General features: G+C 36.9%; 1 pseudogene, besides 1 other annotated feature; it reads left to right on the forward strand.

The window, feature by feature from the left end:
- On the forward strand, nt 2,261-4,040 carry HMGA1P1 (high mobility group AT-hook 1 pseudogene 1; annotated as a pseudogene).
- Nucleotides 9,297-9,867: an enhancer, noted in NCBI's record as "OCT4-NANOG hESC enhancer chrX:26773077-26773647 (GRCh37/hg19 assembly coordinates)". NCBI's record gives its function as "activates a minimal SCP1, AML or CMV promoter by ChIP-STARR-seq in naive H9 embryonic stem cells {active_cell/tissue: H9 hESC(naive)}" and the evidence as "EXISTENCE:reporter gene assay evidence [ECO:0000049][PMID:30033119]".

A 27,248-nucleotide genomic window follows, 5' to 3' on the forward strand; every position in this document is an offset into this window, starting at 1 on the left:
TTACTATACAAATCAGGACAGAGGTTGCCTTAAAATTTTTTTTAAATTTCAATAGTTTTTGGGGACAGGTGGTATTTGGTTACATGGATAAGCTCTTTAGTGGTGATTTCTGAGATTTTTGTGCACTCATCACCCGAGCTGTGTACACCGTACCCAACATGTAGTCCTCCCACCCTTGCCCCCACTCCTCAAAATCCATTGTATCATTCTTACACCTTTATGTCCTCAATTAACTTCTAGGCTTAATTGTTTGTTAAACAATCCAATAGTAAAGATATACATCTTACCAGAAATGTCTGAGAAGCATCATATGTTACTATCTTTAAAAGTATGAAAGCAACTAGAGGAGGAGAAAATACAGTAAACTTTAGCTCAATTAAGTTTAAGGTTACAGTGGAGAAATGGGAAATTATTAATATACTGGGCTTTTCTACTGACTTTTTTCTACTACATCCATTTAATTGCAGAATAAAAAATTAAGATTCAAAATTTTCATAAGAGTTTACAATGTAGTAGACAAACAACAAATAAATGTTAAATGATGTAATGAACATAAAGCAAGTAGATTTAAAGAATTTTAGTTGTACAAGAAAATGCATATAGTATATTCAATTGAGTATAGTATAAACTCAGTGCATCATCATATATTTTTACACTGGATGACTATCCTTTAGAAGGTTTCTCATCTGCCTTTCTAATATTCTTAACACTGTTCACTTGCCTTTCCTTTCCATATCCTTAAAGATCCTTGGCTCAACCCTCATCTCAATAGATAACGTGGTATTTCTCAACTATACCGTTGTTTCTCTTTAGCTAAGTGTAGAATCTCTCCAAATTAACCTTTTAACATATATTGTCGCCATAGTCATTTCCCAGACCAGTTTGATTCATCCTCTTGAGGAGGTCTTGTGTACATACCGATAATATGGTAAAATATAAAATGTGATCAAAATGTTGTCCGAAGATCATTTTTTTAAAAATATGAATACTTTGGGAGGCCAAAGTGGGAGGATTACAAGGTCAGGAGTTCAAGACCAGCCTGGCCAATATGGTGAAACCCCTTCTCTACTAAAAATACAAAAAAAAAATTAGCTGGGCGTGGTGGCGGGCACCTGTAGTCCCAGCTACTCAGGAGGCTGAGGCAGGAGAATTGCTTGGAAAAGAGAGGCAGAGGTTGCAGTGAGCCGAGATTGCGCCACTGCACTCCAGCCTGGCTGACAGAGCAACACTCCGTCTCAAAAAAAAAAACAAAAAGCAAAAAAACAATGAATACTCCTTATCTCACTTTGACTATAAAATAGCACATATAATACATTTTTAGCAAGATGCCATCAAATGAATAAAAAGTCTTTATTTTAAAATATTCTAAAATTTAAAAGAGCACCACTCTACAAAAGCAACTTTTCCAGGTCTGCTACACTACTGAGCTCATATTTTGGTTTTGATTTAGGACATTTTTTTTCATCTGTATTGCATTCCTTTGCAAAAATGTCCTGTAAGAGGAATGTCTGTGTTTCGTAAGTCAGTTAAGCTCACCTATACATGAATATCTCTTTCACATTATAAAATAAAGGTCTCTCATTTCTCTGACTATTGTTTAATCGCAAAACCTATTTTAATTATGTAGATATTGCAGTGTGATTTTTATTCAACTATCTTGTTGTAATGATCAGGGATGTACCACCTGGTTCTCCTTCAAGGAAGAACTCGTTGCACTAGTTGCTCTGTCTTTTCAGGTATTGTTCCAGCTGCCTCCCTCAAGGTCATGCCCATTTCTGGCATCCCAGATCCAATGGCTGCTCCAAATGCAGGCATTAAGGTCCAACCTTCTGGCCCGTAAGGGACAATTCTGAAGAAACAGTATAGTTCCAGAATTTCCCCCATGAGATGAATTGAGACTCGATAGACCTGCCTCAGAACCGGAAATTTTTCTCTTCCCAAGCCTGCTTTGTTTTCGGCCCTTCCATGGGTTTTGATCCTGCAAACTAAACTTTGTCTCAGAGTCTGCTTCCACAATTGTTGCACAAGTAAAATAATTTTTTTAAGTCGTCACATTGCAGCTGAATACCTGTCAATAATTGTATAGGTATTTTTAAATTTCACAATAGTTGTCTGCACCCAACAAGGCAGATGTTTTCTAGAAATGACTGGAGCAAAAACTTCAATTGATGTTGCCTTATGTGAAAAATTGTCAGATTAATTTGATTAGGGTACTATAATAATGTAGTCAAGTGGCTTTAAAAAAAAATAGTGCACTAGTCTCCTTTAATTGAGACTCTGAGCCGGGGCTATTTCTGGCGCTGGCACGGCTCCAAGAAGGCTCTCCTAGCCATCACTTTTCCACCTACTTCTTAGAGAAGGGAAGATGAGCGAGTCGATCTCGAAGTCCAGCCAGCCCTTGGCCTCCAAGCAGGAAAAGGATGGCACTGAGAAGCGGAGCTGGGGCAGGCCGCGCAAGCAGCCTCTGGTGAGTCCCAGGACAGCGCTGGGAGGGAGTCAGAAGGAGCCCAGTGAAGTGCCAAAACCTAAGAGACCTCAGGGCCGACCAAATGGAAGGAAAAACAAGGACGCTGCCAAGACCTGGAAAACCACCACAACTCCAGGAAGGAAACCAAGGGGCAGACCCAAAAAACTGGAGAAGGAGGAAGAGGAGGGCATCTCACAGGAGTCCTCGGAGGAGGAGCAATGACCGTGCTTGCGTGTCGCCTGCTCCTCACTGGAGGAGCAGCTTCCTTTTGGGACTGGACAGCTTTGCTCCGCTCCCACCGCCCCCGTCCCTTCCCCAGGCCCACCATCACCACCGCCTCCAGCCGCCACCCCTGTCTTCCACCTGCGACTTCACCACCACACTACACAGCACACCAGCAGCTTCAGGGCCCCCATGGGCTGAGTGGGGAGCAGTTTTCCCCTGGCCTCAGTTCCCAGCTCCCCCCGCCCACCCACGCATACACATGTGCCCTCCTGGACAAGGCTAACGTTCCACTTAGCCGCACCCGGCACCTACTGCGTCCCCACTCCTTTGGTGGTGGGGACATTGCTTTTTGGGCTTTTGGTTTGGGGGCGCCCTCTCTGCTCCTCCATTGTTCCCTCTGGCTTCCCACAGTGGGGCCTGGGAGGGTTCCGCTGGCCTTAAAAGGGGCCCAAGCCCCATCTCATCCTGGCCTGCCCTACTCCACTGCCCTGGCAGCAGCAGGTGTGGCCAATGGAGGGGGCTGCTGGCCCCCAGGATTCTACCAGCCAAGCTGTCTTCCTCACCACGTGGGGCTCACACCTTTCATCCTTCCCCACCTTCCCTAGTCCCTACACTAGGTTGGATAGCCCCCTTTGGCTACAGGAAGGCAGGAGGGGTGTGAGCCCCCTACTCCCTCTTTGCAGTGGCCCCAGCCCCCTTGCCCTCCACCTGGGATCTGAGTACTTATTGCAGTGATGGAAATGCAGTCACTTATTGTCCAGGTGAGGCCCACAAGCCCTGTGGCCGCCACCTGAGGTGGGCTGGGGCTGCTCCCCCACCCCTACTTGCTTCTCCTACTTGGCCATTTGCCCCTCCTCAGATGGGGCACCAATAACAAGGAGCTCACCCTGCGGGCTCCAAACCCTCCTGCTCCTCCCTGCCCCCCAAGGTTCTGGTTCCATTTTTTTCTCTGTTCACAAACTACCTCTGGACAGTCGTGTTGTTTTTTGTTCAATGTTCCATTTTTCGACATCTGTCATTGCTGCTGCTACCAGTGCCAAATGTTCATCCTCATTGCCTCCTGTTCTGCCCATGATCCCCCAAGATACTCTTCATGGAGAAGAGGGGCTGGAGCATGGCTGGCTGGGTGACCAACTACCCCAGTCCCAGGGAAGGTGGGGCCCTGCCCCTAGGATGCTGCAGCAGAGCTGGCAAGGGGGCCCGAATTGACCAAAAAGGGCATAGAGGCCACCTCCTCCCCCTGTTCTGTTGAGGAGGGGTAGCCATGATTTGTCCCAGCCTGGGGCTCTCCCTCTGGTTTCCTATTTGCAGTTACTTGAATTAAAAAACAACTATATCCTTTTCTGGAAAAAAATAGTGCACTAATAAATAATAGATGAATAATTATGGAACATCTAGTCTCTTGTTCACAATGAATTGTGCAGACAAAAACTGCATCAACCCTATCTTTGTGGGATACTAGGTTACATGCATTGAAACAAGAATTTTGAACTATTTTCTCTCAAGAAACTACTGTAGAGTTAATTTGTTTTCTTTACTTTTTACAAAATGTACTAATTATGAATAAACATTTAAAATTTATCCCCAAACAGTTTTTAATTAAATATTTAAATTGCTTGCTATTCAGCAGGAAATTTTTAAAGGAAACACATTTTTAAAGCTAAACAGACTGAAAATCAACTCACCTTAGATCCATTAGCAAATTGAGGTCACAGGGCAAACTGTAGTTCTTAAAATTAGAGAGAAAGATAAATACAGATTAATTCTAATTTACCAGGAGCAAAAGCCACAGCTGAAGACTGGTAGAGTAATTGAATAATTGCTGTAGACTCAGTGGGGACATTTGAGAGATGAAAAACTCCTAGGAAGTCAGCCTTTGGGGTCCTCCATACTGAATTTTATGACCAGGTTTCATGGGTGAAGATCAGAGAAAAATCTTCTTATGCTTCCCTCAGGGGGAAGGGAAAAGTAACCATTTTGAAATACCCCCAGAGTGTCTATTCTCATTAACAAAGGACTGCCCTAGAGGGAAACTATTTTTACCAGAGCCTATCCAATGTGGGTTTTAACAGAGTCTAACTGATGTGGGGGAAGAGAGATACTCAACTCTAACTCCCTCTAGCCTGCTATATAAGGGAAGGAAAATATACAAATCCAGTGCACTCTAATGTTCCTGTATTATATAAAGAAGCTCAGAAACAGTTAATAAGGTCACAGCCCAGGGACCCACAGACCCATTAAAACACTGAGACCTAAATAGTAAGAATATATTAATAGAATGCTTCTCCTGTGCCCCCATACTACCACATCAACAGGGTTCCTGTATAATAAAAGGGCATTACAGCTGAAAAGAATTCTAAGGCTTGTAGTCTATTTAAGAAATCTCTAGGAAAACCCAAATACCACAGAGGAGATGAAAACAAAGACACTAGAGAAAATTTTAGCCTCTGACATCTACAGCTGTAGGAAACAATTAACACAACCTAACACATAGATAAATCTAACACCTCACACAAAAGACCCATTTACCTCAGTTCCTTTTGTTACAGGTAGTTAGGCATGAGTGGGACAGGAGAGGGCTCTCCCCTCACCACCCACTAGAAATGTGTGGTGATGGTTTGGCAATTATTGGATTGCCTGTTTAAAAGTGATAAATTGGCAGCCAGCACCAAGGAGAGGCCAGGTCCTCATGGTCCACACCTGTTAACATTTAACTATTAATTAAAGGCAGGCCCCAGGTAGAAGCAACTTCCTGGGCATGCACATTAAGAGACAAAAATGGCGCAGTATGCTCTTCCAGGTACACCCTACTGGAAAAAGGAAGAAAGCCTCAGATGGGCATGCATATAACTTCCTAAACACACTGCACATGCTCAATTCCAAAGGGTAAGGAGGGCACCATGCATGTGGAAAACCCGTCCTAAGGAAAGAATCATAGGAAAGAGGCAAGCCTATAAAGTCCCTGAATCAAGGTTAAAAGCCCCCTGTTTTTTCCCTCTTTGACCTTCAGGTGCCCACTTGGGTCTCTTCCACAGGTTCTTTCCTTTCATTCCTATTCTAAAGCTTTTTAAATAAACTTACACTCCTGCTCTGAAACTTACCTTGGTTTCCTTTTCTGCTTTATTTCCCTCGGTCAAATTTTTTCTTCTGAGGAGGCAAGAATTGAAGTTGCTGCAGATGCATGTGGACTTGCCACCGGTAACTCGAGGTAGCTCACAAAAAGTGGACAACATGCAAGAACAGATGTATAATGTAAGCAGAGAGATGAAAACTCTAAGAAACAACCAAAGGAAATGCTAGTAATCAAAACCACTGATGCAAAAATGAAGAATGTCTTTGATGGGCTTATTGGTAGAGCACAAAGAAAAGAAAGTGAATTTGAGGGTATGTCAATGGAAATTTTCATAACAGAAATGCAAGGAGAAAAAAATAATGAAAAATTGAGCTGTAAAATATGAAATCTAAGAACTGTGGGACAATTACAAATGATGTAACTTACATGTAATGAAAATACCAGAAGGAGAAGAAAGAGAGAAAGGAACAGTTTCTTCTTTTTGGGAAGAAGAAAACATTTTTAGAATAGATAGGGATAATCCAGTGTCTGTTATTCTATTTTTGTCTTCAAACTTGCTGTAGAAGACTCATCTCCAAGACCCTAGAAGTTGCTGACCCACAGAAAAAAGGGACCTCTCATTCTGAATTTGTCTTTGAAAAGCTGACCACAAAATAGCCAATTTATCTGTGACATAAGAAGAAATACCCATTTTGGCTAATACAGTGAAACCCCGTCTCTACTAAAAATCCAAAAAATTAGCTGGGCATGGTGGTGGGTGCCTGTAATCCCAGCTACTCAGGAGGCTGAGGCAGGAGAATGGCATAAACCCGGGAGGTGGAGCTTGCAGTGAGCCGAGATAGCGCCACTGCAGTCCGGCCTGGGCGAAAGAGCGAGATGCCATCTCAAAAAAAAAAAAAAAAGAAGAAGAAATACACCTACCTTTTGTTAAGCCATTGTGATCTAGGGGTTGTTTGTTACAGCATGTATTCTATTTTGAATAAGAGACAAAAATAAGACATGATCCTTTTACCTGAGGTCCTTATTGTCTTAACAGTAGAGAGCTCACATACATACATTTTAGAGTTGTCTAATATTGTCTTTCTCTTCTATAAGAGCAATTCTTACTTCTGGAAATATAAAATTGTTAAAAGAAAAACCTTAGCCAAATTAAATTTAACAGGGTTTAATTGAGTAAAGAACCATTCACGAATCGGGCAGCCTCCTGAGCCAGAGTAGGCTCTGAGACTCCAGTGCAGCCATGTGGTGGAAAAAGATCTGTGGACAGAAAAAGGAAAGTGATGAACAGAAAACAGAAGTAAGGTACAGAAACAAGCAGATTAGTTATAGCTTGTTGTTTGCCTTATTTGAACACAGTTTGAACAGTTGGCTCCTTCTGATTGACCAAAACTCAAAATTGGCATAAGAGTAGGCTACAGTCTATTTACACTTCCATTTAGGTTATAGTTCACTATGTACAGAGAAACCTTTAGGTCAAACTTAGAATATATAAGAAGACAGCTTTACGCTAAACATGATTTAACAATTCCCCTCTTTTGGTCATCCTCTCAATTTTGAAAGACTGACAAAAACTTTAGTCACTGGTGTCACTATTACCATTGTAAATGTACTTATTTGTTCTCAAAACCCACTGGGAAATAGCAGAACAGTGGGTTTTATAAGGTGGGAATAAGGACTTCATGTTTTTTTTTTTTTTTGTAAGAGTAAGAGTAGTGGGTACCTCCTTATGCTGCAGTGTCCTGTTTACAAGAGAAAAACAAAACCTGATCTGTTCTAGAATCTATCTGTTTCCTTAAAGTCTTAGTTTGATTATGTCACATTTAGCATAAGTGGCCCCATTTTGGTTTGGTCTGGTCTGTTGGGGCCTACTGCAAGGGCTCGGTTGAAAGCGATGACCTCCCATAATTTTGTTTAAAATTTCCCCCTCTGCTCAGGCTCTTACTTTGGTGAGAGTATGACCAAAATTTAGGGCGTTAACACCACTCTCAATTACCATCATTTTGGGTTTTCAGTCTTAGTACATTATTCATACTTTATGATGCCCTCATAGTAACACATTTCTTTCAGCTGTTGTCATTCCAGTTGAAGAGACACCATTTGACATTCTAGGGGTGGCTGCATGCAAACATTTAGAGATAATACAGCACACCAAGGAGACTACTATTATGACTATCAAGAGGATAATACCAAGAGTTTGGAGTATGCTCCTCAGCCAGGGCCCCCGTAAAGCAAACTAACTAAAATCAAATAGATCAAGGAATGAACTAGATAAAGAGTATACTCACTTTAACTAGACAGCATATTCGTTAATCCCCTCAACTGAATCTCTATAATACCCAATTTATTTCTCCATGGGCAACAAGAAGTGCCAACAACTGTACAGATACTTCTCTGTTTAGCCAGTAAGTAATCTAGAGCAATTCTGTTATTTAGCATAACTTTCACAAGAGAATTTAAAGTCTGCTTTGTAACCACAGCTTTTATAAGTAGAATCTGCTATAAAGCCTATCATGAGGAATACATTTCTAATTATTGCCTCATTTACTCCAAACTGTGAAATAAAGAACCTAACAAGTGATGCCCATCTAGAAGAGTGAAGACCTCCTATCCTTTCATGAACCTCCTTAAAGATGACATACTCTAGGATTTTGTGTGCTTGTGAAGATTTCAGAAACTGCATCAAAATTAAGCAATTAACTATGAAAATGACTTAAAATGGTCATAGTTAAAAATACAATTGACAAGGAAATTTTGTTATTTCTGTGGTCTACAATAACTTAACATAACAACCATGATTATGACTGATAGCATATATTCAGACATGGTAGAATTTTAGAAATCCCATATAATTTTTAAATGTATATTAATAACATTTATTAAAACACAACTTGAAGGTTTAACATCAATTTCTTATTTGAACACAAATATTTTACTCTGTCATTAATACTACATAAAATTTTTGCTCAAAAAAGAAAACAAAATTTTACTTTTGTATTAGTGTATTATCAATACTAAAGCTGATTTTAACAAAACCTCATAAGTAAATTTATCAAATCTGTCGTCTTTTAACCACACAAGATTTCCATAAACTTTTTGTTTTATATTATTTTCCCCAACTTTTTTTTTTTTTTGAAATGGAGTTTTGCTCTTGTTGCCCAGGCTGGAGTGCAATGGTATGATCTTGGCTCACTGCATCCTCTGCCTCCTGGGTTCAAGCAATTCTCCTGCCTCAGCCTCCCAAGTAGCTGGGATTACAGGCATGCGCCACCACTCCTGGTTAATTTTGTATTTTTAACAGAGATGGGGTTTCTCCATGTTGGTCAGGCTGGTCTCGAACTCCCGACCTCAGATGTTCTCCCCGCCTCGGCCTCTGAAAGTGCTGGGATTACAGGCGTGAGCCACCGCACCTGGCCTCCCCCAACTTTTTATATTTATCATGCTTTATCTGCTTTTTATTCCTTCAATTTGAAACCTTTAAGTAACTTCTAACCAGACAAAATTTTTTAACAAACACATATTTTTATGACTTTATAACTTTTCTTATCAAAAGCATATCTTGCTTTTGTTTATACACTCTGAATACAGAATTGTTTCTTTCCTATCTAGGATCTTTAATTACATATATTAACTAGAATTTGAACTCTTAGTAGCCCTAATTTGTAGTGAAAACCTTTGTGAAAGAAAAATATCTTGGGCCGCTTCAAAAACTGCTCAGGTCAAATCTGCGTCCCATTCTATTCAAAGTCATCCCTGGCCTCACTGAGATAGATGCATATCTTATTGCCTCCTTTGGAAAGCCTAATCAGAAACTCAAAAGAATGCAACTGTTCCTTTGTCTTTCACCTATCTGTAACCTGGAAGCCTGCTCCCTGCTTTGAGTCTGCCTGCCTTTGCTTCAAGTTGTCCTGCCTTTCCAGGCTGAACCAATGTACTTCTTACATATATTGATTGATGTATTATGTCTCCCTACAATGTATAAAGCTACACTGTGCCCCAACCACCTTGGGCACATGTCATCAGGACTTCCTGAGGCTCTATCATGGGCACACGTCCTCAACCTTGGCAAAATAATCTTTCTACATTGAGACCTGTCTCAAATTTTCAGGGTTCACACCTAAGTAATTTGAACTATTTTATATCAATATTTGTAAATAAAAACCATTTTAAAATTTTTTAGAAAGACAGTTCTTCAAATTATTGTTTATTAACAGATCTAAATATATTTAGCTTTTCTGTACCATATTGTTACCAGGGGTCCTTGTTCTTAGAGCTCCCAAGATGGTGGCGGGCTGCTTCCAAGATGGCGGCAAGCCTCTTGTTCTCTGGCTTGGGGTTCTTGGCCTCACAGATTCCAAGGAATGGAATCTTGGGCCATGCAGTGAGTATTATAGCTCTATTCAGCTCGATTAGGACAAACCCCAGGCACCTAGCCCACGCAGGAACAATGGCGAGCCTCTAGCCCGATTGGAAGTGGCAATGGGTGCCACCTTGCTGGATCAGAAGTGCAGCAGACACCCTGCCGGATCCAGAGGGGGTGGAAGTCAGCCGTGGGTCTGCGAGGGCGGCAAACAGCAGTGGCGGATGGCGAGCGAAAGCTCAGCTCAAGCCGTGACAAACACGGACCAGAAGAGTGTGCAGTTGCAAGATTTAATGGAGTGAAAACAGAGCTCCCATACAATGGGAGGGGACCCAAAGGGGGTTGCCATTGCCTGCTGGAATGCCTGGGTTTATATCCTGATCATTGTCCCTCCCCCTGTACTCTCAGGCGATAGATGATTGGCTATTTCTTTACCTTCTGTTTTTGCCTAACATTCTGTTTTTGCCTAAGAGCATTTTAGTGAGCTCCCTTTACTACCCGATTGGTCGGGTATGAGTTAAATTGCAAGCCCCATGTTTAAAGGTGGATGTGGTCACCTTCCCAGCTAGGCTTAGGGATTCTTAGTCGGCCTTGGAAATCCAGCTAGTCCTGTCTCTCAATATGAAAATAACATGTCAAGGTAAATAGACTTAAACTAATGTTTAATAATTGATATTTCAGTATTTTAGCTTAAAAATGACTCAGAAATTTTATACTTATCTATTACTTAATGTAACATAACATGACTTCAGGATTTTAAATTACTGAAAATAATTTTGAAAATATTACACAGGTGCCTGCCCTAATGTCTTCTCCCAGTCATCCTGGGTCTCAAGTAGCCACATGGCACCCAGGAGGACTATGAAGTTCAGGGCCTGTCTGGGTCCTGAATTTACATACCAGGTGTAGAGGTCAGGACAGAAGACAGACAGAGCTATGAAGAATATACCCGGTGGATCCAATCCCTCCCAAAATAACCAGTAGACAAGCAGGAAAAGTGGGGAAGGAGGAGAGCATATTGGGCTTGATTCTGGCTTCTAGCTGTAAAAAGTAAAGTAGAGGTTCCTCTTCAAAGAGACTTTCCTCCCCATCTAATTAGGAATAAATAGTAACTTCTCTTGGAAGCAAAATTTATTCAAAGACCTGTGTTAACATTCTTAAATATCTGCTAGCCGTAATAAAGAAGTCAAGGTACTTTATGTTCTTAGCTCCCACAATTTAGCCTAAATATTTGCCCTGGCATGCTTATACTGGTCCAAGCAAGCATTAGGTCATAGCCTGTTTCTGTTCCTTATTTGAAGGTGTTTTTACCTTTCTCAGCATTCCACAAGTTACTTCCTCCTTCCTTTGTTCTCCTCTGCCTTTGCCTCTTGTAAAAAGTTCTAAGTTGCTAGCCAATCAGGACAAATACAGAATGTGAGGTCCCGTTCCAGCCAATGGAAACTGGACACAGCAGTAGGGTGGATGTGTCAGGTTATAAATGACCCTGTCTCCTTTGTTCGGTGTACTCTCATGGCAAAACTGCTGGTGAGTGTACCCTTTCTGCAGAAAGTAAAAATGGCCTTGCTGAGGAAATTAAATTTATATTCAAGTGCTATTTCTTTATGGCACCAGGGAACAAGCATTTCAAACATAGCTGCTGGTCTAAACACTAAGAACATGTTTCCAGACTTCATCATGACCACCTATCCAAACTCCTAAATCCAGAGGCTCTAACTAAAGACAGCTCACGGTCAAATAAAGCAAGTATCCAATTATATTTAACTGATAATTTTGAAACCATTCCTATTTTACTTACAATTAAAACTAGCTTTATTTACCAAATATTATCACAGACACATAACACATGTAGATATTAAAACACACAGAAGAAGATCTTATAACTTTTGTAAAGGATTTTCATTTGCCAGCTTTTAAATAGTTTTTTTTCTCCATTCATCTATTTCATTGCTCTAAGCAATTGTTAACTAGGCAACAAATTGCATTTCTAAAGGGACAACTCTTAGTTGTCACACACACACACACACAAAATATATATATATATATTTCATAAGCACAAACTTAAGATTTTAGGCCTAAATATTGTATCATCATTTGCTCAAACCAAGAAAAATAAAACCGTGATCAAGTAAAAGATAACTCAAGACAAGATGGCCAGAAAAGCATCTTAAACAGAGGTATGATTATGTACATTTAAAAGAATAGTAAGAGTTCCTAATGTATATAGGTAGACATCCTTAAAAATGGAGATTTCCTTTATAGACATAAATTTCTTTAACAAAAGATTTTTTAGAGCACCAATTAAATTCCAGAAAGGTGTATCTTAGTTCAATACATGGTCTTTTAAAATTAGCTACTGTTTCTTAGCTAAAATTACTGAGTTCTTGGTGGAACCCACTAAGGAATGGGGCAAAGAAATCATTGTCTACGCTTGCACTCAACATAGATAGATATGAAAATGAAGCAAGCCTATTTTACCTGAGAGATTACTTTTCATACACACTTTATCTAGGATAGCTTTCTTTCCATTTTCAGTGCAGGATAGTAACTAAGCCAAAAGGTTAGCAGATTTAATTTTTCTTATCAGTTAGTCACTTAATCTGTTTATTTGCCTTTTATAAACAGTATTTAAATAATAAAAGACTTTGCAGCTTTTTTAGCCAGTGATTTTTTCCCTACCTAAGCATGAGCATACAAGAAAGAAGAAACAAAGGGGGTAGAACACAAAAATCCCTGTGAATTTCCAAAAGCCAAAGTTTACACCCCTTGTAATATTGCCATTGACTACAGGTTTCTTTCTGACTCAGTCAGACTTATAAGAGGCCTCTAACTGGAACCAAGACACTTAATTATCAGATCCAATCTGATCCTGGACCCAGTCCAGTTTCAATTGCAACTTCCAAACCCAATTTAAATCCAAAATTTGCTCAAAGAAATTTGGAGAGCTCAAAACACAAATCTGTGGAGCTCTGGAATCCAAGAGAGAACTTACCACAATCCCCAGTTGCTGTAAAAGAGCAATGGACACAATGGGCCCAGCGGGTACCTTGCTTGGTCACTTGGTGATCTTGGAGGTTGCTAGAAACTCTGCTTTAGATCCCACATCTGACACCATCTGTTAAAAAAATCTTGGCTGAATTAAATGTAACACAGTTTAATTGAGCAAAGAAGAATTCACAAATCAAGCAGCCTCCTAAGCCAGAGTAGGCTCAGAGGCTCCAGTGCAGACACATGGTGGAATAAGATTTATGAACAGAAAAAGGAAAGTGATGTACGGAAAAAGAAAGTGAGGTACAGAAAGAGCCAGATAGGTTACAGCTCGCGTTTGCCTTATTTCAACATGGTTTGAACAGTTGGCCACGTTTGTTTGGCCAAAACTCGGTGATTGGCACAAGAGTAGGCTACAGTCTGTTTATACTTCCATTTAGGTTATAGTTCACAATGTACAGAGAAACCTTTAGGTGAAACCTAAAATATGTAAGGAAGCAGCTTTAGGCTAAACTTGATTTAACGTATATAACATAGAACACAACACTTCTGTATTGCTTCTTCCATTAAATTATCTGTCTTCCTCTCTAAATATTTTAAGATACTTCAGCCATACCTTGGATCATCGGTACCTAGTAGAACTCCTGGTGCCTGATAGGCACTCAATACATATTTGATGAATAAATAAATGAATGTGTTCTACGTGGAATCTAAATCTGTCAAACAAAAAAAGCACTTGACAAACCTCTAAGAATGACAGTGATGTATTAACACTTAGAAGATATTTCTGGTGAAATTTCTAAATTCTTATGTGTTGCATGTAACTTTATTTTTTTAAATTAAGACACATAACAATATAAAATTCAGTTGTATTCCCTTTTCCCATTAATACCTTTATCTCATCTTATCTGAATATTCAGAAACATGCCTTTCAAATTCCACATATGGAGGAAGCTAGTCAAAAGTTAAAACTGAGTTATTTTTTGAAGGAGGAAGCATGCATATAAATCTAGAACATATAACTATGTCCTGCATATTCTTAGAGGTACAAATTTAAATCACTGATTTCATATTCCAAGTATATGTACTAACAATTTATCAAATGACAAAATAGATAACTCAATATAAAAAGGACATTTCTAAATCTATGCTTCTGTCATTATGTATTCTAAAACTTTACTTTAGTCATTAATATAAAATTATGAGTACCATCATCTTTTTTTTAAAAGTAAACTGATTGTGAAATTATATATTGAAGTGTTGCAGAAAATGTTCCTGTTTTCTTCTAATGTTTAATGAATATTAGCAGCATAAAAGAAACTATATACTTGCATCCCTTCTAATTTCATCTATTTAAAAAAAACAGAAACCTAAGAGATGAACTTAACAGAATTCAATATCAAGTAACTTATCTATTCATATCATAAACTTGATAGTTCAATGAATAAATTATAGAAGATAGATTAATAGAGTAAAATATCAGGAATTCCATGGCAAATCAAAGAGGACAGAAAGTAATTGGTCAAGATTACAACCCAAAGTCGAATGATTTTACTAATGCCTGCAATCAGAAATAGGGTTTTGATAGAGAGTTTATAAGTTACATAAAGTAAGAAATATTTTTCATCATAAATAGTTTCCTATAATTCATATAGAAAATTAACAGAAAATATTTTAGGTAGCTTTTAGTCTCAATTCTATATTGGCTTTTGGGTTGTATAAATTTATTTAAAGAAGATTTTCATGGAATTATTGGGTTGTTCCAAAAGTAATTGTGGTTTTTGCCATTAAAAGTAATAAAGTATCTTTTGTTGTTGTTGTTTAACTTTTTATTTATTTTTTTTTTTGAGGCAGAGTCTTGCTCTTGTCACCCAGGCTGGAGTGCAATGGCACGATCTCGGCTCACTGCAACCTCTGCCTCCCAGGTTCAAGGGATTCTTCTGCCTCAGCCTCCCAAGTAGCTGGGATTACAGGCACCCACCAACATGCCTGGCTAATTTTTGTATTTTTAGTAGAGACGGAGTTTTGCCATGTTGGCCAGGCTGGTCTCAAACTCCTGACCTCATGATCCACCCGCCTCAGCCTCCCAAAGTGCTGGGATTACAGGTGTGAGCCACTGCGCTCAGTCTAATTTAAATTCTTAATTTCTAAGTACCTTTCTTAAATATTATGTGTCTGTATCCTCATTCTTACTTTATGTATTAAGTTTGTAAAATTAAATTAAAAAATGATTTTCTTATAAATACATGAAATCAGTGTCTGAAAGTTTTTATATGCCTTGGGTTTCCTCATATGTAAAATGAGTACATTGACTAATAAATTGATAGAATTAAATAAAATATGCATAAAGCAATTAACACAATATCTGGCATATAAAAGTATCAAATAAGTGTCAATAATTGTCATTTGGTTTGGGTCGCAATTATACATTGAAGAAAATTGAGACAAATATGGTAATATTAAAACAAAAAAATTATATATAATCAGGTAAGGGAGATTCACATGCTAATTACTTAAAAATTAAAACTATGTCTCCCCTCATGCCTCAAGTTTGGAGTGCAGTTATTATTTTAAAGCTAAGGATCATCAAAAACTGAATATTGTGCTCTCATATGAATATAAATCTTTGGAAAACATTAGTTTTGTTCTGGGAATGTATTTCAGAATTTGATTTAAACTTTAGATAACACAAAAGAGGGGCTCTTCAAAAGATGCCAGAATGAAGTTATACGAAATATTACTGTTAAAGTTTATGTAGAATGTTAGAGTGTATTCTCCCTGAAACAACATGAGAGAAGGGTAAATATTTGGAGCTAGGAATTACTTCCTTCCGTATATACATTTTTTTTTCCATTGAAAGGAACCTAAATTGATAGGCTACTGTAGCTCAGGTGCTGCGTTCTGCATTAAGAGGGTGTTATCAAGGTGGATGTGGAACCCAATTTAGAGTTTGATTGTTTTTACTTTTCCAGTATATGTTTACAAATGGAGCAGTCAGAGCAACAATTCAGACTGTTAGTTTGTAGATATTGTGCTCTTGATTTCTGGTAGTGGATTGAGAACTACCAGTAATACAATATGTATAAATCTATACCATGATTATTGTGGAGAAATAACTTTTTATCTCTGCTTTAAAACCTTCTTGTGTTCTGTTTGTGTTCTTTAGAGTTATATCTTGTCGAAAGAAACTAAGTTACAGAGGAACAGAAGTCAGTGTTATATAAAATATCAGAATTGCATCATAGGACAAAGAGACAAGCAGGGGAAAAAATAATCTTTCGATTTAGAAAAACAACAACCCAGAGGTAAATATGCTGGCATGGAAAGTAAAAAATGTTTGAAATTTTTATTTTTCCTATTGGTTATGAGTTTCAAAAAAGAATGAGGAGAGAGAGGAGGAATCATACTTGGTCTCAGAAAGCCAAATTATAAATCCATAAGAGAATGAATTATAGCCACTCCTGATTCTGTTCCCACACTATGAAACATTACTTTCTTAATTATACAAATGATTAAATAAAAGATGTATTACTTTATGTCAGATGCTAACATGAGACAATCCACATACTGAACTTGCCAAAGTGAAATTATGTAAGACAAAATATCTTCATTACTATGTTTAGAGTTAATGAATCTAGGTAAACTAGGGAGTATTATGTAAAATACTGCTGACTTGCAAATCAATTTGACAATACCTAAGAAAAGTGACAGTGTGAACACCCTACAACCCAGCATTTTTCACTCCTAGATGCATAACGTATAAGAATATTTATAGCATCGTTGTTTGTAATATAAACAACTGAAAACAATCCAGTTAGAATCAATGAAATAATTTAGGTAGAGGAACTTGTATCAAATATAGATGAATCTCTAAAAACTAATGTTGCACAAAAATGACAACTTATCAATGGATCATTGTAGTCAATGCCATTTTTATGAAAATTAAATTTGCATAAGAATAGTCTACAGTGCTTAAGAAAAAATATTTATATAATAACCATATAAGACATTTTCACATTAATAAAGAGCATTACAGGATAGTGGTTTCCCAATAAGAGGAGGCAGGAAAATATTTTGGTAGAAGAGTGTACAGGGAGCTTTCAGTATATTTTGTAATGTTTTATTTCTTAAACTGGGTGATTGATAGATGGGTGTTTGTTATTTTAATATTTATAAATATTATGTATGTTTGAAAGTTAATAAATATTAAAAAAAACTCTTCATAGATTACTAACCTACTAAAAATATTTGCATTTAGGAAGAAAAGGGTGGCTGTGAATAAACACACTTTAAATGCTTCGGTTATCCATTGCTGCATATCAAACTACCCCAAAACGTAGACGTTTAAACAACCATTTTATTTGTACCTGGCATCTTTGTGCTCCTCTATGTGACTTTTCTCCTCATGTGGCATATTTGAGCTTCCTTACAGCATGGTTGTCTTAGGGTAGTCATATGCCTTGTACATTAATATTTTCAGGAGGGAGCAGTACAGTTTGAAGCTACAGTTTCCTTAATGTCCAATTTCATAAGTTACACAGTTTCTTCTGCCACATGTTATTGGAAAGTCTAGATTCAAGAGGAAGGGAAATAGACTCCATCTCTGGATGGGGGCATGGCAAGTTCCATATTGCAAAAAACATTGTGAAATGGGAGCTATTATTGCAGCTAACACTGGAACACAATCTATCATATCAATATTAAAAGTTGTCATTCTGAGATGTTGGATAATTGGTGATTTTTTTCAACATTTGACTTCTCAGCACTCATCAGTTTGTCTACAATGATCATAAATACAATGTTTAAAAGACAAATTATCTAATGTAGAAAATAAAATCTTACCTCATAATAAAATTAACAGTAGGTTAGCATTGGTTATTAAACATTTCTTATTTGAATATAGCTATGAAACTTTTATAAATATGATCTGGTATCTTACCTTCTAAACAATAAAATCTAATACAAAAATTAAAATACAAAAATATTCAAAGAAAACTTCACTTTTGACTTCTTATCCTCTCCAACTACACTGTGCCCCCACTTTTTTCTAGCTGTTGGAGACAGTCTTCTATAATTATTGGGTAATCATTTTGTCTCCATTTCCTTACCTCCCATTTAAACTTTAACCCATCCCAAACTTCCTTTTGGTATACTCACTACATAAAGCTGCCATGTTCAAAGATCATTAAACATTTAATTAAAGCCAGTACTATGAATGAGAGAATAGTGACTAGAAATAGAGAAGAAGTTACTCAGATAAAAATAGTCATTGCAACTACAAGTCTAGAAACTTACAAGTTTAGTTAATATCAATATTACATGCACAGAAGAAAAACATAGTTATTGTAAATCATTGCATTATTATGTACAAAAAACAATTAGAGATAATGGGTAAGAAAAATGGCAGATTGGGCAAAGTGGAAAAGCAGATTGGAGAAATAGAAATTACACTCAAGTAATGGGTTTTCCCTCAAATGGAAACGTAAAGCAAAAGAAAAAATAGAATTTGACAGAGAAAGATTGATTTAAAATTTCCAACTCTATTTAAAGGGGGGTTTAGAAGGAGAAAATAGTGAGGCTGGAAAGGAGAAAATAGCTTAATTCACCATGTTCAAAAAGAATTCCCAGCAGTATTTATCTTCTAGACTTGATCATACAGTATTGTTAAATATAGCCATAATCCATTCAGTTGCTCAAGCTAGAAATCTGGGAGTCATCTTTGATATATTTTTTCACTCAATAATCTTAGATCAAATATATGAACAAGGCTGGGCGCAGTGGCTCACACCTGTAATCCCAGCAATTTGGGAGGCTGAGGCAGGCGGATCACCTGAGGTCCGGAGTTCAAGACCAGCTTGACCAACATGGAGAAACCACATCTCTACTAAAAATACAAAATTAGCCAGGCGTGGTGGCGCATGATTGTAATCCCAGCTATTTGGGATGCTGAGGCAGGAGAATCGCTTGAACCCAGGAGGCAGAGGTTGCAGTGAGCCAAGATCATGCCATTGCACTCCAGCCTGGGCAACAAGAGTGAAACTCCATCTCAAAAAAAAAAAAAAACATATATATATATATATGAACAAATGTTTCATAACATCTCAAATATCTCTAGGTTCTGTCACCATTTTGTTCCTGCTTCCTAATACTTTGTAAATAGTTTCTTTTTGTACATGTTTGTTCTAGTCCTATCTCTTCTCCATATCATATCTACCATATAAAGTAATATGCATATGTATGTGTAATCTCTTCCTTTATAAAGTGCCAGTTTATGTTTTAATTTTCTATTTTTTTTTGCATGGTCATATTTTTCTAATTAATTGAAACTATATTTATATTAACTCAATGTTGTAAAAATGTAGACAGATATGCTCATTGATTTCAAACTTTTTTTTGTTCTGTTATTTAAAGACATTCCAAATTTGGGGGTAGCCAAATGCAACTGTCTATTTAAAATGTGCCTTAAATATGTGTGTGAGAGAAAGAGTGTATTAGCTTCTTTCTGGACTTTAGATTCGGCCATGTTGATTTTTTGGTTCTTTGTACTATATTTTATAATTATCATAAATTTATGATTTTTAGTATGTCTATTTTAAAACATATGTCTTTATTATTAGTCTTACAAGAAACACTGAATATACTCAAGGTAGAATATTTAGCACAATTTTACTATGACTGGATTTGCAAGTAGGTTTTTTTAAAAAAACTAATTTGGGCCAATTCAAAATTTTAAAAAATAATTTAAAAATTGGGGGTTTCAGATTATTGTTTTTAATATTACAATTACATTATGTCTTTATCTTGAGTAATGACTCCTAGGAAATAGCTTGATCTTCCACCAAAGGGTAGTGGTTAAATAGAATATATATGAGAGAGAGAAGAGTTTAGATATTTTGATTCAGTTGAAATTAAAACTAAAATCATACTACCATCTAATAATGTAATTTATTCTTATTTGGCCATAAATGCTTTGTGATTTGCTTTTAGCTACAGAACTGATGTGGACTTCTAAGTCTAGTTCTCAAAAGGTCTTGAGAATTTCTTGGAATTTCATTTCTGAAATTTTTTCTCAGTTGTGTGATGAACTGCAGGCTAGCCTGATAGAGACATGTGACTCAGCTGATAGCCACCACCAAATTGTTAGAAATGTGAGTTTAGACCATTAAGGTCCAACTGAACCACCAAATGACTGTAGCTATTTCAATGACAGTGGGAAAGACTAGCAGAATTGTACAACTGAAGCCAGTCCTTATTGTCAACTTTAAGAATAGTGAAAAAAAAAATGGTTGGTATTTTGAGCCACTAAATTTTGAGATAATTTGCTTTGCAGCAATAGGCCATTGATACAAAAATTGGTACCTAGAAAAGGAGTGTTGCCCTAACAAAACGTGAAATGTAGCACTGTTTTCGAGACTAAGTGGCAAGGGGAAGCTGGAAGAGCACTTTGTTTCATGAAATCCTGAGGCAGAATGTTAAAAATATCAGTTGGATTCCTTGTAAATTCTAGATATCCCTGTAGTATACATAGTTTGCAAATATTTTCTCCCATTCTGTAGGTTGTCTGTTCACTCTGTTAATTATTTATTTTGCTGTGCAGAAGCTTTTTAGTTTAATTAAGTCCAATTTGTCTATTTTTGATTTCGTTGCTTGTGCTTTTGAGGTCTTAGTCTTGAATTCTTTGCTTAGAACAATATTCAGAAGAATTTTGCCTAGGTTTTTTTCTAGGTTTTTCAAAAGAGGACATACAAATGGCCTACAAGCATATAAAAAACACGCTCATCACTAATCATTCAGAAAAATGCAAATCAAAACCACAATGAGATACCATGTTATACCACTTGGAATGGCTATTATTAAAAAGATGAAAAAATAACAGATCTTAGTGAGGATGTGGAAAAAAGGGAATGGTTAGACACTGTTAGTGGGAATGTAAATTAATGCAATGACTGTGGAAACAGTATTAAAATTTCTCAAGAACTAAAAATAAAATTACCATTCAATCCAGCAATTCCACTACTGGGAATCTACCCAAAGGAAAAGAAATCATTATATAAAAAAGATACCCACAAAAATATGTTTATCAAAGCACTATTCACAACAGCAAATGTGTGTAACCAACATAAGTGTCTATCAATGGATGACTGGATAAGACAATGTGGTATATGTATACCATGAAATACTATTCAGCCATAAAACGAGTGACATCATCTATTTTGTAGCAGCATGGATGGAACTGGAGACCATTATCTTAAATGAAACAACTCAGAAAAAGAAAGTCAAATACTGCATGTTCTCACTTAAAAGTGGCAGCTAAATAATGTGTACACATGGGGGTATGGAATGACAGACATTGGAGATGCAGAAGCATGGGGGTGGTGGAGGGGGTGGATGACTAGAAATTACTTAATGGGTAACAATGTACACTGTTCTGGTTATAGATATACTGAAATCCCACATTTCACCAATACACAATATATTGATGTAACAAAATTGAGTTTGTACCTCTTAAATTTATGAAAATTAAAAAAAAACAAAGTATCAATTGGGAGCTTATAGTTCACATGATAGGCACTGCAAGAGAGAGATGAGAGGAAGGAACTGTATAGAATGCAACTCAGGACTTGCTATTTTACGTGTCCACCATCTCCAGCTGACCAAAGATTCTCAAAGTAAAAATAATCCTTTATGCTGAAATCATGATCATTTATTATAACCTGGCTATAGTATACAAGTACTCATATTTTATTTAGTCTATAAAATATTAACTGTGGGATACCTAAAATACCAAATAAGTAATAATTAGTAAGTACACTAGTTATTAACTTATTCCCTAACTCTCTTAATTCATAGGTTTAATGATTTAGAGCTTTAATTCAAAATAATTGATTTGAAAAAATTGGCCTATACAAAGAAGTTTCTTTTCCAAGGAAGAAATAAACAAAACATCTATATCTCATAGTTTAATGTGTTTTATTATATGACCCTGGGTAAATTTTATCTCCTTTGAGAGAGCTGCCAAAAATATTTCTTCTAATAAGAAATACTAATATACCTCATAGATGGAATCTTGGAGGGAAAAGACAAGTATTGACACACACAATTGACCAAGTTGGTCTCTCCTGGTAGTTTAGTAGCTAAACAAACAAACAAAAAATAAAACTTTTTAAAAAAATCTACGAATACCAATAATTGCATGCAGCAGCATCATTTTGGTAAATAGAATGTGGGAAAGACTGACTAGGAGCAGGATTGCCCTCTAATTATTTCTCATCTTTCCCAGCTTGCCCAAGGAAATATCTCTCAAATGAACCTGAGAACTTAAAGAATGTAAAAGGAAGTTAGATACATTCATTTTCTTTTATGCTTGATGACTTAGGTCATGTAAAGTCAAGGCCAGTCTTCTGACCCTATTCACTGAGTTTATATTACGGGATAATAATTACTGGTGCTATCATTGTCATTACTACTATTGCTACTGATACTAGTAGAATAATAGCAATAATATTAAATCCAATTGTAATTATAATATTATTCATATCTTATATGAAAATTAAACATACTAGAACTAGGTAAATCAGAGTAATGTTCCTAAATATTTTACTATCTATAGGAAAAATGGCGGGAAATGCTTGCCTATCCACCTCAAAAATTGATATGTAAAAACTGTGAAAAATCACAAACAATTTCACTAGGGGGAAAATCCTTTAGGTTGTTTTTCTTGATTTTGTGTAGGAAAACAAAATAATAAGGAATTTAGCAGTGGAACAATAAGAAGTTGGGACAACAGAAAATAGGACTGAGAGTTAGCCAGCCTGCATCCCACTCTTAAATGCAGTATCACTCTTTGAATCTGGTGATTAAGAAAGATTGATAATCTGGGGGGAAAAACAATTAATTTCTAGGTAATGAAGGGACTGATTATTCCCAAGTTGGGTCATGAAATGTATCCTGTATTCAAGATTACCAAATGCCTGAGGAAACTCTTACACGTAAGGTAAAATACTGTCCTATGTGATGAAGTTAGTGTTCTGGGAAACTGCCTCTTAAGCAGCACTTTGATGGCTTTGCTGGCAGTTGAAACTGTCCTAATCCCATTAATTAAAGGCACTTCCTACACATTCCCTCCCACAAATGATTCCTAACTTGCAAAGAAGGCCTAAAGGGATTGAGAAATAAAAGGCTGTGTTTGAATTGTGATTTCTTTTAAGTAGTGAGAAAAATTGCCAGTAAGGCCACATATGGAAAGTCACTTTAGACTCTAGGATGAAGGCCTTTTGTGTGTGTGTGTGTGTGTGTGTGTGTGTGTGTGTGTGTGTGTGTGTGTGAGAGAGAGAGAGAGAGAGAGAGAGAGAGAGTTTTGCTCTTGTTGCCCAGGCTGGAGTGCAATGGCGCAATCTTGGCTCACTGCAACCTCTGCCTCCTTGGTTCAAGCGATTCTCCTGCCTCAGCCTCCCAAGTAGCTGGGATTACAGGCATGTGCCACCATGCCTGGCTGATTTTGTATTTTTAGTAGAGATGGGGTTTCTTTATGTTAGTCAGGCTGGTCTCGAACTCCCGACCTCAGGTGATCCGCCCACCTCGGCCTCCCAAAGTGGTGGGATTACAGGCGTGAGTTACCGCACCTGGCCAGATGAAGACCTTTTTTAGAAAGCTAATGTGAAAATAAGAAACCTGATTCTTCTGAGAGAGTGGAGGAGCTCCACCTGGCAGGATAATGACCACTATTTTAGCAGGGGCTTCCTAGAAAATCTGAGACTGAAGGAAAATCTAATACTTCATTGAGGAGGTAATAGTGTGGTGTGAGATTTTTTAAGGGGAGAAATAAGGCAAATGAGGAAGGAGAAACAAACGTAAGAAAATATATTACTGCGATGGTCACAGCATTCCAACATGTGCTGCTGGTAGCTTGGTTTACTAGAAAGGATGGTTCTCCCTGGTTTACATCTACTAGTAGTAGAAAGGGAGAATTATATATGCCATTTTTGTCTCCTGTGATTAAATATTTACCCACAGAGCATCAACTCCCTTGTACTACTTATTTTCACCATCAAATTTCTTTTGGTTAGGGAAGCCAGATCCTAAGATAGCAGTGGCAGCCCCCAGTGCAAGGTGGTGACAGAGCTCAATAAGTCTTCCTTCAGGGTAGATTGAAACCTCTTCTCTGTGGCTTATAAGCATGACTGGTGACAGTCAATCTTCCTGGAGGGTCATCAGAGCACCAAGCAGAACACCATTGCCAAGTGAATTTAGGGAAATGCATAAACTGTGCCCAGTACAAACAGTAATCAAAAGTTGAAGGTATCTGTCTGGATTTATGACATCAAGGATGGTGTAAGTAGTTCTGAACCAGTGCCTCTTATACTGGCTGGAAGATAGATTTATATCCAAACCAAATGAGCCTTGAGTTGGAACACTAAGGAAAAGCTTCATGATGAAGTATGACACTTTCTCTGAAGAAATACTAAAAAAAGAAGAGAAAATGGCTCATCTCAAGAAATATTTTTTGCCACTGAATTTGGGACTCAGTCTCTGCTAATTTGTTCAAGAGCCAACAATCTGGTACAACTAAGTTAGAACAAGCAACATCTCACAGCTCTTTGATATAAATCTTCAACTAGAGAGATTTTACTATAGGCCTGTCCCTTATGGCCTCATGACTTGAACTGTGGGAATACTCAGCCCTGTTTTTCCAGAGGTAATGGTCAACTCTAGCCTGAATCAAAGTTTATTGGCCAGTGTACCTGGATCCCCTTTGGTTCTCAATCTTGCATATCACCATATGGAGACCATGGCAACTTGGCATCATCAGTGGCCACTCAAGGAAGCAAGTGACTCCACCCAGATTCATATTTTAGATGTAACTTGTCAAGGTCTTATTTTCTTTAAGCTAAAAGGCTCTTCCATCACCAAATCATAGTGGATACACACTACTAAGGCACTTAAATATATGAAGCATACCTCAATACATAAGATTGTGAATATTAGAGGCAGACTCCACCCAGATTCATATTTTAGATGTAACTTGTCAAGGTCTTATTTTCTTTAAGCTAAAAGGCTCTTCCATCACCAAATCATAGTGGATACACACTACTAAGGCACTTAAATATATGAAGCATACCTCAATACATAAGGTTGTGAATATTTGAGGCAGATAAACTTCTGTAACTCATGATATTATCAGTAGGTAGTGTTGGGAAGTGAGGATCTAACAAAGGGAGAATGTAAAATAATTGACTTCTGGGCTATTAATACTAGAGTTGTGTTAAGAACTAAGAATCTTAGTTACATCTAAAACGTGTGTAGCAAAACACCAGTTATGATGTAGCTATCTTATTGACATACAGTATTAACAAATGCCTTCGAAAAGAAGAATGAGTGGTGAAATAATACATACATTAAGCTAAGTTAAAATCTGTTTGTACTCACTTGGACATAACTATTCACAATACAATTACTTGATTTTCAACATGTAAATAGTATTCATGAGCATTGATGTGCAAATTGATATATGCATGTAAGTCATAAGCTTTAAATGATTAGGAATATGGAAATCATTTAAAGGTAATTCAATCTTTTATAACAATTTGTAATTTAACTGATTGTTGAATATTTTTATATTGAAACATTCACTTTCTTCAGTTTGGTTTCAAAAGGATATTTTATATGAATACATTTACATTTTAACTCATAATTATGTCCATCATATCTTATGTGTGAATATAGGCATTTACTTTGAAGAGTTTAAAATGCAGTTATATCTAGCTGTTTGAATACTCTCTATATTAAAATATAAAAAAAATTGCAGACAAATTTATCAATTGCCATTTCCATAACAACCAAAGGAAATTCAAAAAGACTCTTCACACCACTGCTCAAAATAATTTCCCAAGTCTTATGTATTAAAAAAAAAATCTCATTTAGATGACTCTATGCTCAGTATTAAAATGAAAAACTATAAGGGTAACTATATTTCCCTAACCCATACACTATTATAAATGTGGCAAAAAAATGACACATTTATATGTTCATTTATTGTACACATATTCAAGTTATCAAATCAAAATATCACCATATAGAGTTACCTGAGTAAATATTGTTGAACTGGCTCAAGTGGCTCATTAGGAGTCATGAAAATCTCCAAAGCTCCCAAGTGATCCTGATCCCATAAGAAGCACATAGTGTAGTGTTGCTCATATGTAACTCAGATGTGTTTTAGCCACCCTCCTCCCTTGCCCCAACTCCTGACTTCCAATAGACTAGATTAAGTTAATCATTAATTCTTTTAAAGATAGGTCTGTAGAAAATTTGAATGACCTGAGGCAATCAACATCTTACCAACAGCTAGCCCTTGGGAGGTTTCTAAGACTAATTTAAGGGAGAACAAGGAAAAGCAACTGACAAAACTCTTATTTGTCTAATTAAACTTCTAGTCATTTAATACCAAAGGAATTTGATTGAACATATTCATGGACATCACTAAATAATAACAATGCAACAATAAAGCATTTCTTAATGAAATGTATATTAAAATTCTGTGGAAAACTCTTCTGTGAACCCTCATACCACTTTTTTCTTCTTGGATATGGAAGAGATCATTACTAATGAGTGAAATAGTGATATGCAATTTATAAACAAAATGGATTTTCATTCTAAAGGTGGAACTTGCTTTCAAGTACCCAAATGTCTAACTTGACTATTTCAAAATGAACTACAAATATTGATCTATCAGCAGATTGTGCTTCAATTTGGACATGCATCAATTTATATCACATCTGGGTAGAAAATAAAATAGTATTTGGCAAAAAGATGAAAGAATATTTGTTAAAGTCTATATTTAATATGCCCACTTATTTTTTCTTAGAAGAAATGAATTCAAGCAGTCACTATTAACTTGTGAGAAATCACTCCTTTGGAGCTCAATATCTGGCAACATGGTTTCCTTCTCTGAAGAATCTAAAACAGTTTCTCTAAGTGTGCTTCCAAGATTAGCAGGATTAGCATCACCTGGTAACTTGCTAGAATTTACAAGGAACTCAAACAACTAAAGAAGAAAAACAAACAACTCGATTAATAACTGGGCAAAGGACATGAACAAACATTTCTTGAAAGAAGAAATGCAAGCAGCCAAGAAACACATC

The sequence above is a fragment of the Homo sapiens genome, chromosome X, assembly GCF_000001405.40.
Source record: "Homo sapiens chromosome X, GRCh38.p14 Primary Assembly".
NCBI lineage: Eukaryota > Metazoa > Chordata > Mammalia > Primates > Hominidae > Homo > Homo sapiens.